The sequence below is a fragment of the Homo sapiens genome, chromosome 15 (assembly GCF_000001405.40).
Source record: "Homo sapiens chromosome 15, GRCh38.p14 Primary Assembly".
In the NCBI taxonomy this organism is placed as follows: domain Eukaryota; kingdom Metazoa; phylum Chordata; class Mammalia; order Primates; family Hominidae; genus Homo; species Homo sapiens.
The window spans coordinates 33,048,766-33,065,778 of NC_000015.10; the positions used below are offsets into that span (position 1 = coordinate 33,048,766).

General features: G+C 38.8%; 1 protein-coding gene across 15 annotated transcripts in view; it reads right to left on the minus strand.

The window, feature by feature from the left end:
* FMN1 (formin 1) overlaps positions 1-17,013 on the minus strand; it is a 429,171-nt gene that overhangs the window by 283,222 nt on the left and 128,936 nt on the right. For 13 of the 15 annotated variants that reach the window (XM_011521509.4, NM_001277313.2, XM_011521504.4 and 10 more), the window contains one exon: positions 16,192-16,309. The exons of the other annotated variants lie outside the window; for them this stretch is intronic. In XM_011521509.4, the coding sequence (XP_011519811.1) occupies positions 16,192-16,309 (118 nt within the window). The remainder of the gene's footprint in view (positions 1-16,191; positions 16,310-17,013) is intronic. 15 annotated transcript variants of the gene reach the window in all.

Here is a 17,013-nt window from a genome sequence, read left to right on the forward strand (position 1 = left end):
TGTGCAGGGAAACTTCCACTTATAAAACCATCAGATTTCATGAGACTTACTATTATGAGAAGAGCATGGGAAGGACCTGCCCCCATGATTCAACTATCTCCCACCAGGTCCCTCCCACAACACATGGGAATTCAAGATAAGATTTGGGTGAGGACACAGCCAAACTGTATCAGGAAAGTAAAAGGTGCTTTTAGTAAAAGATTAAAAGAAGTCATCAAAATGTGGATTTTCTTTCCTAAATTTAGACGGTTAAAGGATTGTTTTAAATTAGGTAAGATAAAGCTAAAGGTTTCAACAAGTTGTGGAAGGTTTGTGAAAAATTAATCTTGTAAAAAATTCTCTGTGTGAACCTATTGGCCAGTTACCATCATTTTGTGTGTCAAAACTTGGTGCTAAGGCCCTAAGTTTTGGTCACATTGTAACCTAAGTGAGAACCTAACCAGAAAGGGGGAATTTTTTTTAAACAAAATTATGGGAGGCCCTTGTTTTGGACTTAGCTCATGCATTAGGCCCCAACAGACAAAACCAAACAAAAATGAAGTCACTTGTGGTAAATGTGACATTATCAAACTGAGACTTTAAGGAAACACATAGCTCCTAGACCAGAACAGACCAGGTTTGTTCTCCTAAAAACAAGATGTTCCAACATAAGGGGATACCCTCTACTCAAGTCCTTGTTCCTACCTTTGCAAAACTCACAGTTCTGTTTCCAGGGGGTTTCAAGACCAAATTAGTAATTTATGATGGTGATAGTGATAGTAATGACTAAAGTTTTGGTCAATCTCTCAAAATTGAGAAAATGACCAAAAGAGGGGAATTGTTAAATCAAGTTTAGTCTAAAGCTACCTTCTTACATATTTAAGTTCAGCCTACAGGTTTTTCTATACATCGTGAACTATAACAAGTGGAGATGTAAACTGACCTCAGCCAACACCTGTGCCAATCACTGAGTTTTAGCCAATAAAATGTAGCCAACTGTCCAAATCGTGTTCAAATAAGGCAAACACTAAGCTCTAATTAATCCCGTTGCTTCTGTACTTCACTTATGTTTTCTGTACGTCACTTTCCTTTTGCTGTCTATAATTGTTGTTCCACCACATGGCTGCACTGGAGTCTCCCTGATTCTGCCATGATTCTAGGGGCTGCTCAATTCACGAATTGTTTATTGTTCAATTAAACTCCTTTAAATTTAATTCAGCTGAAGTTTTTTCTTTTAACACAACCAATATAACCATTCTATTTTTCACTTCTGGTACAGTATTCAACAAATTATATTAGATATTCAACACTTTATTACAAAATAGGCTTTGTGTTCAATGATTCTGCCCAACTGTTGGCTAAAGTGTGTTCTGAGCATATTTAAGGTAGGCTTGGCTAAGGTGATGTTCAGTAGGTTAGGCGTATAACGTGTATTTTGACTTACAATATTCTCAACTTATGTTTATCAGAACATAACCCTATTGTAAGTCAAGAAGCATCTGTATACATATTGTTAAACTTTAGGTTGGAAAATGCTTCCTTTAGACCAGATTTCACTACATAAAACTTTTGTATAATGAAAGACACCATGAAAGAAGAGTCATGGCAAGTTAGAGCCTAAGATTCCAATACATACAATGATAAAAGGATTTTTTTTTTAATACATAGAAAGCTTCTTCAAATCAGTAAGAAAAATGACTAAGAACCTCATTTTCAAAAGGACCAAGAACACCAGGAAGCTCATAAGAAATCCAACTGGTCAATAAATGAAAAGATGTCCAACACCACTTATATCAGAAAAATACAAATTTAAAAAACAGTGTGTGATTTTTAACCCATTACATAGGCATAAATTAAATAAATGCTGGTGAAGTATGAGTAATGGGCATTCTTTCTTTGGTTTAATATTCTGAGAGGCCAACTGTGTAGTATCTACCAAGTAATGGGCCAGGACACAACAATTCCACTTCAGTCCTATCAAGGTACTCACAGGTATGCATAAACCAAATATACAAGAATTTAATGACAGCATTATTTGCAAACAGTGAAAGATTCTGAGCAATCAAAAGGTTCATTACTACAGGCATAGGTCTATAAATTACTACTGTATGGAATACTATGCAGCCATTAAAATAATGAGGAAGAGGGAGAGTGCCCTGTATGCACTGACATAGAAAGGTTTCAGTATATGGTAAAAAGCAGCTCATCTTAGAACAGATTTTATAGTATGACCCCACTTGTGTGGAAATATTTTGTGATGTGCCACTCAGTGTATACGTATTCATGAGTGCATATACAAGTGTGTGAGAAGCAATGTAAGTAACTGTTCACAAGGACCCCCCCTTTAAGAAGGCAGAGGGATCGGGGGATATAGAGTGAAGGATGATTTTTGCTTTTTCCTCTATATATATACCATTCTCTGAATTAGGTATGATCATTCCAGGGTATGTTCCTTGGATTTTTTACACTGCTTCCTTCTATCCTTCCTGAGAATCAGATGTGTCCTCTTTAATCAGAATTGAATAAAACAGTCTGGGAAAGGTTAAGGTGAATTATGGCTGGGCTGAAAGAAATGGGGGCCACATTAAAAATGGAAAGAAAAAACTAAACTGGAAGTCAGAAGACCAACTTTCTAGTCCTGGTTCTGTTGTTACAGTAGGTAGCTAGTCAGACATGAGCAGGGCAGGAGAGGGTCCCCTGCCACCACCAGGATGTCGGGCAACCATCAGGTGATAGGTGGTTGTGACAGTGCCGCTCTAATAATTGGTCACACCTGGTGCCAGAGAAAGGCAGTCTCCCAATAGATATAAACACCTGAAACTGGTGATCAGCAGCTTCCTAGTAAGATCTCAGGAGTTGGGTGAGTGGGCTCAAGCATGGGCATGAAGAGGCAAAACAGCAGAGTTTTTAGCTGGTATATGACCTTCCTCTAGAAACGCTTGACTGGTTAGGGAAAAATGCCTCAAGTGAGCACGTGTACAACTCCAATAAACACACTGTACATGCAGCCCCTCCCAAGTGCTGGCAGGCCACTGCACATGCTGATAGCCCACTCCAAGGGAGGAATCCGGGGAGAAGGACGCAAGACCCCGGAAGCATACCAACATATAAAACCCCAAGTCAAAGGTCAAACACTGCACTTGATCTCTCAAGTAACCCACTTGGCCCTGTTCTAAGTGTATTTTACTTCCTTTTGTTCCAGCTCTAAAGTTTTTTAATCAACTTTCACTCCTGCTCTAAAACTTGCCTTCGTCTCTCACTCTGCTGCCTTATGTCCCTTGGTCAAATTCTTTCTTCTGAGGAGGAAAGAATTGAGGCCGATGCTAACACTATCACTAATTAGCAAATGTGATAACCTTTCTGGACATCTATTTCTCTGTAATAAGGAGAGAGCTAAACCTGATATTCTCCAAGGTTCCTTCCAGTTCAAAGAACACATGAATACTATACATAACTATGCTGGTGTCTTAGCCTTGAGATTCTAGTTTCCCAACTGAAATGTCTGAAAATACTTGATTTAAAATATTTTATTAAAATTATCATCAGCATGTAGCCACTAAAAATGGTTACTAGGAAGACTACAGAAAAAACATGGAAAACATTGATAGGATAAAAAGGAACTCGATAAAAATGCTGGGTTCAGCATGGACACAACCATGCAAATACACGTGCATGGAATCAAAGACTTAAACAAATACACAAAAAGGAAAACAGTTACTTCACCTGTCTGATGTCTTTTTCTGACACCAACCAATTCTCCAATAGCAACACCAATTCTCTGATGTCAACTGGGTGTCCTACAATTCAATTCAATTCAATTCAATTCTGACACCAGAGTTAGCATCAGACTCCAGGTTTACAGGCTCAGCCCCACAATGATAGTGACAGGAGGCAGCCAAATACCTAGGCAGATAAGGGTGGATCCCTGGTGAAACCCCACCTCAAAGCTAAAGACAGTTTAAAGCCTGAAAGCCAAGCTGTAAGTTAAATCCTTGGACCAGACTGAGAACTTATCTTCCCATTTGATGCGTTTTCCTCTGATTGATCCCCACCCTTCCCCTATTTTATATACACCTACCCTTTTCTAATTGGTTTTCTACACTGTCATGCCCACCTTTGAGTGGTGTCTTTACTTTAACCTTTTTTGCATATTCACAAACCAATCAGCATGCACTACCCATTGTGAGTCCATAAAATGCCCCAGACCCAACCACAGGCAGAGAAACCACCTGACTGTGGGGGTGTGGGATCATCCCCCACTCCCCACAGTCCCTTCTCTGCTGAAAGTTGTTCCATTGTTCAATAAAATCCTCCACTCTCATCACCCTTCAATCGTCAGTGTGACCTCATTCTTCTTGAACGCTGGACAAGAGCTTGGGACCCACTGAGTGCAGGTACTCTGAAAGGCTGTAGAACTAGGCCTTTGCCCTCACTGGTGGACGCCAGCCAACTGCTGACTGGGCTGCTAACACACCACCATCCACCCGGCTGCAGACAGCAGAACTAAAAAAACTAATTAGCACACTAACATTCCCTCTGGGGCTTTGGGGTCGCAGGCACCCCTGCCTGGGCATTGCCACATTCCCCTTGAGGTAACATGCCTGGTCTGGCAATGGGCACTGCACAGAAGTTGCTCCTATGTTGGCACTTGGAGCTGCCAGCCAAACCCTGCACTCGTTCACTCATGTGCTCACTCCCACAAGGGGCTGAGTGCAGCATGCCGAGTAGACGGGGTGCCCCTGCTGCAAGTTCGGGAAAGGGGCCAAGAAGAATCCTGCTTCAACAAGACTGCCCTCATTTTGGAGGCCAATAGCAAGTACTGGGTCCTCAGAATATCCATACATCTGACTAACTTGGCTACAAACTTCGGTGTTCCCACAATACTCCCCATCTCAAGTTTGATAATTTCCTGGAAAAGACTCACAGACCTAAAAAAAAAATGCTGTCTGTATTGTTATAATGTATTATAAAGAATACAAATGAGCTGCCAAATGGAGAGGTATAGGTGAAGTCCAGAAGGGTCTCCAGTAAAGGGAGTCTCTGCCCCTGTGGAGCTGAGGCATGCTACTTTTCCAACGTGAGGATGTGTTCGTTAACTCAGAAACTCTCCAGATGCTATGGTTTAGCGTTCTTTCCTTTCTTTGTTTTCTTTTTTCCTTTTCTTTTCTTTCTTTCGGAGTTTTTAATGTAGATTTCACTACGTAGGCATGATTGAGTAAGTAAATCACTGGACACTGGTGAATGAACTCAATCTCCAGTGCCTCTCCTCTCCCTGAGAGTTGAGGAGGTGCTAAAAAATCCAACCCTCTAACGAAGATGTGAACCTTCCGGTGTCCAACCCCCATCCTGAAACTTTCTAGGGGCCTTACCAGGAGTCATCTCATTTGCATAAACTCAAGTACAGTTGAAATGGGCTCATTGAATAATAAAAAATCCACATATTACTCCTATTTCTCAGGAAATTCAAAGGGTTTTAGGAGATCTGTGCCTGGAAATAGAGACAAAGACCAAAAATATATTTCCTACTGTACAACTAAATATACATTTCTGCTTACACTCCACCATCTCACCAAGATGTTCTTTAAGAGTATTTCTACAATCCTGTAAATTAAAAGGTTAGATTTTTTTCATCTAAATATTCTTATATTTATTAAGTCCTCAACTATGACTATGGCATCATTTCATTTTTACATGGGTTTGGATCAAGTAAAGGTGCCCTTCCGCAAAAAAACTTTCAGGATGTAAAAACTGGTTCCTGTAAGAAAAGAAAGGCATGATCTTAACAATGTTGCATCCATCTATACTATTTCATACTGAGAAGCAAGAGCAATCTGTTTATCAAACCCAATTACCCTTTCCCTCCTCTTCTACATGAAATGGTCGCAATAGATTAGGTAGAGAGAAAGAAAACTAAACACTTTGCAAACATCAAAAAGGAGTTGAAGAAATGAGGGATCCCACCATGAGGCAGACATAAAGCCAATCACAGCTTCCGGAAAATGCAGGCTGAAATTCTTTCCAACAGTTTTTGGTGAAAGCTTTTATGTCTCAGTTATTTAAAACTCTATATTGCCTAATTATTCATAGATCAGTTCTAGCTACTTGTATCTTACATGGAAATACAAAGAGCTGAGAGTAACCAAGGAACAAGGACACATTCTAGCAGGGTATCATAACTGATTACAGAGTTATAGTTGTAAACCAAAAATAAAATTTGAAGCCCTCCAACCCCTGCAACCATCTGAATGGACTCTCTCCTCAGCCACAGCACTCAAAAATTTAACCTGAACAACTAGTTCAGGCCATGATGGGAAGTGGGGATTGGACAATGCCTCATTATACCCCTGCAGCATTAATATCAATATAGACCTTAAGTCTGATAAACATCTATAATCTATTCTCTCTGAAGCCTGCTATCTGGAGGCTTCAACTGCATGATAAAACCTTGGTCTCCACAACCCCTTATCTTAACCCAGACACTCCTCTCTACTGATAATAGTAACTCTTTCAACCAATTGCCAATCAAAATATGTTTAAACCTACCTATGACCTGGAAGTCCCCCCACCCCTTCGAGTTGTCCTACCCTTCCAGATTGAACCAATGAAAACCTTACATCTATCGATTAATGTATTACATCTCCCTCAAATGTATAAAAGCAAGCTGTACCCTGATCACCGTGGGTACATGTTGTCAGGTTTTGTGTTTACACAGTCATTAAGACAGTGTGAAACTGGTACAAGGCTAGACAAAGCTACAGAACAGTGGAACAGAATACAGCCCAGAAGGTGAAGGTAGGCTTTTCAATAAACAATTCTGGGTAATTTGGACAGAAAAACAAATTTGACTGTACTTCAACTCATAGACAAAAAAAAACAAACAAAAAAATCAACGCCCAGAATATTGCAGGTCTAAATGACAAATGAAGAGCACTAATAATTTTTAAAGATAATTAAAATATATGTATTTTCATGATTGGCTTAGAAAAATAAGAAGGCTCAAAATGCCCTAACCAATAAAACCAGATTCATTAGAGTAAAACTGAGAATTTATCCTAATCAAAAACCACTATTAAGAGAGAGAAAAAACACTTGCAACACACTTAACCAAAGAGCTCAAATCCAGCATATAAAAATAACTTCTCTACAAATTAATATGAGAAAGAGAGACAATTCATTAAAATTAAGTGACTCAGACAGGCACCCACGAGGATATGCAATGGCCATGAAAAAGTGCTCAGCCTGGCTGGTGATCAAGGAAACACCAATTAAAACCAGAATGAGCTCAAATTAGAAAAACCAAACACACCAAATGACAAGAATGCGGAGTAACCAGCACTGTCATATGCTGCTGGTGGATGTATAAACTGATAAAAATCCCTTTGAAACACTGTTTAGCATCATCTGCTGACATAGAATCCAGATATGCCCTATTACCAGCAATTCTATTTCCAGGTATACACCCAAAAGAAATGTCTCCCTGTATTTACCAAAAGGCATGTCCAAGGGTGTTCAGAGTAATGTTTGCCATTAAAAGAAAAACCTTAGCCAAATTAAGTTTAACAAAGTTTAATTGAGCAAAGGACAATTCGAGAATCAGGCAGTCTCCTGGGCCAAAGCAGGCTGAGAGACCCCAGTGCAGCCATGTGGCACAGAAGATTTATAGTCAGAAAAAGGAAAATGACATACAGAAAACCAAAGTGAGGTACAGAAACAGCCAGATTGGTTACAGCTCAGTGTTTCCCTTATTTTAAACACAGTTTGAACAGTAGGCCCCCTTTGATTGGCCAAAACTCAGTGACTGCCACAAGAGTAGGCTACAGTCTGTTTACACCTCCATTTGGGTTACAGTTCACTATGTACATAGAAACCTTAAGGTTGAACTTAAAATACATAAAGAGGCAGCCTTAGGCTTAACTTGATTTAGCACTGTAACAGCCACAAACTTTGAACAACATCAGTGTCCACCAGCATTAGAACTGGATAAATATGTTGCAATATATTCATACAATGGAATACTATAGGGGAATGAAAATAAATGAACTACAGGTACATGTAGCAACATATATGATTCTCACAAGCATAACGTTAACAGAAAGAAGCCAGACACAAAATGAGTTAATTTATATTAAGTTCAAAAGCAGATGAAACTAGGCCGGGCACAGTGGCTCACACCTGTAATCCCAGCGCTTTGGGAGGCTGAGGCAGGCGATCACTGGAGGTCAGGAATTCAAGACCAGCCTGGCCAACATGGCAAAACCCCATCTCTACTAGAAATACAAATAAATTAGCCAGGCACGGTGGCACACACTTGTAATCTCAGCTACTCGGGAGGCTGAGGCAGAAGAATGGGTTGAACACAGAAGCAGTGGTTGCAGTGAGCTGAGATGGCACCACTGTACTCCAGCCTGGGTGACAGAGCGAGACTCCATCTTAAGAAAAGCAGATAAAACTAACCTATAGTATTAGAAGTTAGGATAGTGGTTTTCTTTGACGGAAAGGGAAATTGTAGCAATTGGAAGGGGGCAAGAAGGAACCTTCTGTTGTGCTAAAGATGTACTATTTATTGATCTACATAGTGGTTACCTGGGTGTGTTCACTTTGCTATAACTCAGAGCTATATACTCTTGTGTACTTTTCTCTATTTTTGTTATTCTTCTATAAAAACTGGTTTAAAAAAAGAAAGTCAGTGGTGCTGCAGTTGAACTTCATATATATTGTCTTATCTCTACAATAATTGTTTAAAATTATCATTACCCTCCTTTTTAGAGACAAGGATGAAAATCCAAACAAGTAAATTATCTTGCCACATGTCACAGCTGGCACATGACAGAGCCAAGCTTCGAACTCAAGTTTAGTTGATGCTCAAACCCATGAACCCCTGCAGTAAAAGTAATGTCAAACTTAATTATTTCTTCAGGACTTTCCCGGTCCTACTTTCCTTTCCCTCTGAAATCATTTTCTACCTTTCTCATCTCATGTTCTCACCCCTTCATCAAGTGCTTCCCTTTATCTTGGGGGGAAAAGTGCTTCCGAGTTTACCTATTGCAACTTTGGGTTTAGTTATTTCTCAGAAATAATTTGTTCTACAAAAGAAGAAAAAATTGTTATTTACAATTTCCCATCTGGTTTCTATGGAGAGGGGATCTGAAAGAGTGTGCTCTATTTGCTGAGCTAGTTGATGGCTATAAGCACATGAAAGCAGACTGAGCGGAAGGAACTAAACTGCAAGTGAAAAGTATGATGGGGCTGGTGGTGGAAAGGCGTGGCGGGGCTGGTAGTGGAAAGGCGTGGCGGGCTGGTGGTGGAAAGGTGTGGTGGGGCTGGTGGTGGAAAGGTGTGATGGGGGTGCTGGTGGAAAGGTGCGGCGGGGCTGCTGGTGGAGGAGGCTGAAGCCAGGATGGTGGAGAGGTCGCTTGGTGGATGATCTGGAGAAAGAACACTTGGTGGCTGGCAATAGATGGAGATTTGCAGAACAGAAGAAAAATGAAGCCACCTGGATAGAAATTATGAGAAAGACGACGACTGAAAAATGTTTGTAAAAATGTGGTGTGGAATATGGAGTATCGACCTCATTCTAATCTTCCCAAAAGAGGACTCAAAGTAGACTGAATGCACTGGTTTTATTTTCTCTAAAACCCAGTAAAACCACTGAAATAACAACTGTTAAAATAAAAATGTTTGCTCATGTACCTCCCAAAACCATTTACATGTACACCATGCATTTTACTACACAAACTGTGGCTCAATGAACGGTAGTTGAATGAACCTCACCTTAACTTTCCAAGAATCCACAGCCTAGAAGCATTTTTATTTGCTTGAAATTGCTTATGCTTCATAGCGTAAAAAATACCATTCACTCCCTTCTTTGATTCCTATTTGAGGAATCAAAAGAACAGCGTGAAACAACCAAGTGAGTTTTTGCAGATGAGTCCAGTGAGCCAGGATGGCCTCATATGCTCTACTTTATTGTTCAGGTCCACTCACTTCAGATCCCGTAATTTGTAATAACCTGCATAATTTTTTATTGACAAATCATAGTTGTATACCTTTACGGGGTAGATGATGCGGTGTTTTGATACAGGCATACCATGTGGTATGATTAAATTAAGCTAATTAACACATGCATCACCTTTCTTGCGTATCATTTGTTATGGTGAGACATTTGAAATTTATTCTTATTTTGAAATACAGAATACATTATTTTTTACTATAATCACACTGCTGTGCAACAGATCACAAAATCTATTTCTCCTGTTTATCTAAAATGTTGTGCCCTTTGATCAACAACTCTCCATTCCCTCCGTCTCACATCCCCAGCCTCTGATAACCATCATTTTATTCTCTACTTCCATGAGTTCAACTTTATTAGATTCCACATATAAGTAAGAGCATGCAACATTTGTCTTTCTTGTGCCTGGCTTATTTCACATAGCATAAGGTCCTCCTGATACATCCACATTGGCACAACTGAGAGAATTCCCCCCACCCTTTTAAGGCTGATTGGTATTCCATTGTATATATATAACATAGTTTATTTATCCATTCACCCACTGATGAATACTTACACTGATTTAATGTCTTGGCTATTGTGAATAGTTCTACAATGAACATGGGAGTGCAGTTCTATCTTTTACATATTGGTTTCAGTTCCTTTGGATATATGCCCAGAAGTGTGATTACTCGGTCATTTTGTAGTTCTATTTTTAGTTTTTTCAGGAACTTCCATATAATTTTCCATAATGGCCGTACTAATTTACGTTCCCACAAAAAATGCTTCTGATCCCATGTATTTTCCTTGTTGGATCTTTAGATACTGGTACATTGGCAAAAAGATTTAAAAAAATTTTAATCCATCACTCTTCAATTTTAGACTATCTTTATCTCCAAATTATAATTCCAACTCATAATTATTACACATAATTTATCAACAGAGTATTAATAAGTTATGTGTATCTTTCAGCAATTCATAATCTCACTACTGTCATCTGTAAAATGAGTAAGTTAAACTAAATGACCTAAGATGTTTGCAGCTCTCAGTTTTTATATTCTAAAAACTGAGACTCTATATTTTAATCTCTTGCTTCTACTCTCCTGAGCCAAAGATCTTTACTAGTATCTCCTTGAACACAATATGTGATTCTTGAGTCTCCAGTCCGCACTTTTGATTCCTCTCCTAAAAGCCAAGCTTTAGTTCCCATTTATGTTGGGAGAGTCAGTCTCCTCTAGAGCTCCCAGCTGTGTACATATACTAAGTGGAAGCTTAGCACAATACACTTCACCTCTAGTTTCCCAGTAAACCTTTTTCTGCACCCACAAACTGCAAGACTTTTCTGGTCTTTAGTCTGTACAGCTTCCAATTTCTAGGCTATCACAATCCAATCAACTCCATGCAAGTGATGATAGCAGGCTACAGGGGTCTATGAAAGATAGTACAATGCACAAACCCATTCCCCAGACGGTGAAAGAGAAAATTAAGATAATTTGTCTGGACACATAACTTTAAAGGAAAATCCATTGCTGACTAACGCAGCCTGTTAGCTATGAATGCAGAAATTAAAACTCAAATTATAGTAGGCCAATAAAGTAGTACAAGGTGTTTATAACTCTCTTTGACTGATAAAGCAAGGATACCTGACTTATCAGGAAGGGTGGCAAATAGCTCTCATTTTATAATGACGTAAATTAAAATGAGAAACAAACCAGAAAATAGGTGGATCTTTATTAAATTGAGGAATGGTTTATTTCTCTATTTAATTTAAAATACTCTAAATAGGGATGTTTCTAAATTGCTCCTAGGTTCTGAGGAAAGATGTGTCTGCTGGAGAGGCCACATGTCTTGACAATTTGCTTACTTTCAATAACTACAATGTATTATGCTAAGTTCTCTTCTCTACAAAAGCTATGGTCCTCACACTCAGCAGGGCAGTACATCTGCCATTCCCCAGCCCCAGGCCAGCTCTGAGATGCTTCAGGTAGAGAGAAAAGCTTTTCCAGATGCACATTGAGAGAGAAACCACATATGCACAATTCAACTCAGAAAGCACGAGTGTTTTTCTTCAAACTTTTTTCTTTCTCATTCTGTGAGTAATTCAGTCACTGACAGTTCCCTAAATGTTATCATTTTAATTCCGAAAACATTAACCTCACTTCCCCTGAGGATTTTGAGATGTACATCATGACAATGTATTTTTTAAATGTCTTAATAATGAGAAATTTCAGGTAGCCCTTCATAATACAACATAGGAGATGGAGGCGAAACGAAGCCCAGCTTTCGGTTGAGTGTTCGGAACAGGTTCTCCCTCTGAACTTCCAAGTGCCCACAGATGGCTGTGGGGTGGGGTAGAGGACCTAAAATACATGTTAAATTCGGTGTCATGTTTTCTTCTGTGCTTTCTATCATTGCTAGATTTTAAAGGAATCTAAAAATATGAAGAATCACTAACCACAGTAAAACTGAGGGAAGGTACCACAGGTCAGTCCAAATGTGTCCTTCACCCAGTCAAGCCCTGTCCCTGGGGAGAAAATCACCTGCAATAAAGCTAGCATGCTCGAGTCACTAGAGGCTTAGGAGCACATTAGATTTCTAAGAAAAATAAATCACAAGAAGCAAATCCATATCATGTATTTATCTTTTAAAACATATGCCAGGGAAGATATTTAGGAAAAAATACAAGATATATACATATATACAAATATATATTTATATGTAAATAAATACCATACATTTAATTTGCTGAATGTCAAGAAACTTTGAATAGTTTTATAAGACACGCTCCTCGTGAAGTTACTAAACATTATCATTCCTACCTCACATTGATTTATAAACTAATACAATTCCAATAAAAATTTTAAGTTTTTCTAGAAGAATGAATATATAAGGAAATCCAAAAACATTTTTAAAAGTATGCAAAAGAAATGGAACCGCCAGATTCTGAGATGTATTGTAATGCTACAATAAGATATAGTATAATATACAAACATATCAAAGACAATAGAAGGCCCCCAACAGTCCTAAACAATATAGAGGAAATAATTATTCCAAAAGTCTGGTATGGAATTAATTAGCAATTTAGAAAAAAAAGTTGTCTTCGATCTCTACCTCTGACTGTATACCAAATTAAATTTTTCATATGAAATGGAGTGACAGAAAGAGAGAAAAAAAGTAGAAAGAAACCCTTTAAGAAACGTGAAAACATTGGTAAACTTAGATCAGAGAAAGTCTTTTAAGCTAAAAGAATTATCAGAAATTATATAATGAAAGGACAGATTTGATTATGTAAATATTTAAAACTTCCACACATCAGACAACACAGTAAAATTAAAAACAAATGATAAAAAGTAAAATAACAGTTTCAAAAATGGTAATTTTTAGGGATAGGTATTTAGTAAGAAAAAACAACTATGGCAATATGGTAATATACATCAGAAACCTTAAAAAGGCATATACTCTTATGTATAGCAATTCTACCTATAAGCATTTATCCTAAGATAAAATACTTATAGACAAAGACTTACAGTAGTTATTTATAATACATCATGTATAACTCAAATTTTTATAATTAGTAAAACTCATTTAAAGAGTTTAAATAACAGTAGGCCAGGCACGGTGGCTCACACCTGTAATCCCAGCACTTTGGGAGGTCGAGGCGGGGGGATCACGAGGTCAAGAGATCGAGACCATCCTGGCCAACACGGTGAAACCCCGTCTCTACTAAAAATGCAAAAAAAATAGTCGGGCATGGTGGCGGGCGCCTGTAGTCCCAGCTACTCGGGAGGCTGAGGCAGGAGAATGGCGTGAACCTGGGAGGTGGAGCTTGCAGTGAGCCAAGATGGTGCCACTGCACTCCAGCCTGGGCGACAGAGTGAGACTCCATCTCAAAAAAATAGTAATAATAATAATCGGAAAAGAACAGTAGTCTATAATGATTCAAATTCTATTTTTATTTTTCCACATTAAATTCATAGGCCTAGTTTCAAAAGTGACAACAGTTTCTCTGAAATAGAATCATAGAAAGTTTCTTTTGCTTCATGATTTTTCTGGATATCTTCAAATTTTACTTTATTTGGGGAACATTTAAAACCTTATGAGAGATTTTCTGAGATCAGTAAACAAATCCCTCACATTAAAATGAAGTAGTTTTCTACAGAGCAAGCCTCGAATAATAGCTGTATATTTTCTATGAACTGATTATACTAGAAAATATAACCCTCCCACAGGATGATAATAACAGAAGCTTGTCTTTGTGCCCTTGTACTAAACTCCCGTGTCGTGTGGTATGACAACACCAGCATGTCTGTGCAGATTCTTCTCCAGGAGGGCTTTAGAAGTCTCTCTGCCCAGGGCCTGCTGGGCGCCCATGGTGGTACCATAACTGTGCAGGGGATCTTCTACGTGCTTCTCCAGGTCTGTGCCCTTTCTGGGCCCCGGTGACAGGCCTGAAATGATAGCCTCAAGTGGCTCCCAGTCTGCTGACTTCTCTTTGGGTTTGGCCAATGGGAATGACGATGAGGGACCAGAGAGTGGGATGAGAAGAGATCAGGTTGTGTGCCCTCAGTTCCCAGCCTGGCATGTCACTATGGACCGGCGGCACCTCCCTGCTGAGGGCTGCGGGTCCTGCCCAGCAGCTGCCTCCACACCACTCAGCCTCCCTCTTAAGTTCTAGTTTTCGATAGCGACTTCTACTCTTGCCCCTTCAGGCTTGGGTGTGGTAAAAGCTTCTCCTTGGTACTGGCCCCAGAGTAGCGCTCTCTTACTGCTTTTTCTAAACCCCGTCTGTACCTCTGTGAAAGGTCTCTAATAAACTCTCCTCAAATCACTCCATTTGAGTGCCACCTGATTCCTGATTAGTACGACCCTCATTGATACAGTCATATATGTAATTACCCTAGAGAAAATAAAGTTAAGTGCGTTTGGACTAAACAAAGCAAAAGGAAAAAAGTGATCTAATGTGGTTTAGGAAATTTTCCATTCAAGTTTGGGTTAAACAGAAGTTTAGCCCTATGCTACTTCTATGCTTCAATTACCTAGAACATCCTTATGCTTTCTTTACTGCTGTGTCTGAATTGCTCTGCTCAGATGAAACAATCATTTTCCACCCTTATGCTGTTCATTCTTACACAATTATGATTTTTGGAAAATCAAATGTGGGAAAGAAGACTTAAATTGCTATACATATTTTCATTAAGGATATGAGTTTTCATCCTGTAAGTCAAACACCACAGAAAGAAAATGCTATGAAGTAACCAATGCCCTGCAGAAACTGTGTAAATGAAAGCTAGAAATCATCTCAAGATTCAACTGCCAGTGTGTTCTCAATCACTGGAGTAATTTGATATTATGGAAAAACCTACTGAACCACCCAACTTTGATCTGTTCATGTCTATCAATGAACAGGAATGGAAAGAAGTTATTTTTCTATAACCAGATAGATAGATAGACCTCAATGCACACATACACCTAATAAAAACAACAAATATAAGCCACGTATAGGTAATCTCCAAATATCAGGAAGAAGGCAGAGAGGTTTCATGGATATATACACACACATGCAATTCTTAATATCTTACATACCCATCCTCTAATGCTTTGGTGTCATTTTACAGTTCACGTGAAACTTCCACTTAAATAGTAACCATATCTAGATTCCCATTTCATTTAAATAAATTCAAGTAAAGTTCCTAGGCAGGTTTCCAGAGAGTTAGGTTGCTTTAAAGTTGGCCATGCATTAAATAAAGCTTTGTCTCACAAAAGTGAACGAGTAACTGATACGGTATCTGTACATTCACTCTGCACAAGGTTCCTTTATCTCAAAAGCATTACTCGAAGACAAACAACAAATCAGATTACAGCTCTAGAGAACCATACTCTGCCTCTTCTAGCAACACTGCCAGCTCACAAAATTGTATGAGGACCAACCACCGGCTTCCTGAGGGATTTGCAATCTACCTTCTCCATCAGGTCCCCCAAGGTTCTCCTACTTCACACACATTCCCCCTTTCATTCATTCCACTGCATTCATCTTTCATCTTTCAGAGGCTCGTTAACAATAAGTGTGCAAAGGTTCACTTTAACAGCAAAACCAAAAAGAAACCCTTCAGCATTACATTTTATAATGAAATAAAACCCCAAATTCTGAGAGTCAACTAAGCTAGAACTAAAAGCCATTGCAGGAAGAGATTCATTCCCGGGTCCCTAGCTTCCTTTCACATTACCTGCTTCAGTGTACTTCAGTCCCACTTTTTCTTCTGTGTCTTTTGTCTTTGGGGGTGGCCAGACAGCTTGAAGTCTGCCAGGAGTCCTGTCATCCTGCTCAGTCAGGCTGTGGTCAGGCTGTTGAAAGAGCAGGCAAATAGTAAGTGGAATGTAGTCAGAGCCGATTAATTCCTGAAAAATGACATGCTAAACCTAATTCTGAAGTTAATTTTAATGGCTAGTTGCACATTGCTCTCATTCACTATAATTCAGATATCTCACTATAGTGTGACCCTTTTCCAGAAGTGTAACGTGATCAGTTGAGGTGAAAATTTAAAACTACAACAACAAAAAAACCTCAAGGCTAAGTATATATCACACAACCCTTAAAAGATTATTTTTATTATATAATTATTTGAAAAAGCACAAATATACTTTGACCTGAAGGTACAGACATAAATGTACTACACTGATGTGCATTTATGGGAATGTTTACCAATGTATCCCGGGACTCCAGGATTATTTAACACAAAGACTAATTTCAAGAACATCAGTGGTAGACCAAGACACCCTTTTTCAAACATTCCACACTGCTAATTTCCTTTTATTCCTATAAACGAATGAATGAGATTTGCCTTCATATTCCAGTCATTTTTATATGTGTTGATTTTTACAACTAGGAGAATGTTATATTGTGCTTGGTTTTTTAACTGCAGTCTGAGAAATTCTGCCAAAGACTTTCATTTTTAACATTTTAACTGAATATTTTAAATATATAGGAGGAATGATAGTCATACACTGAATTGATATTAAGCAAGAAATTCTATTTATTGTTCTTCTGA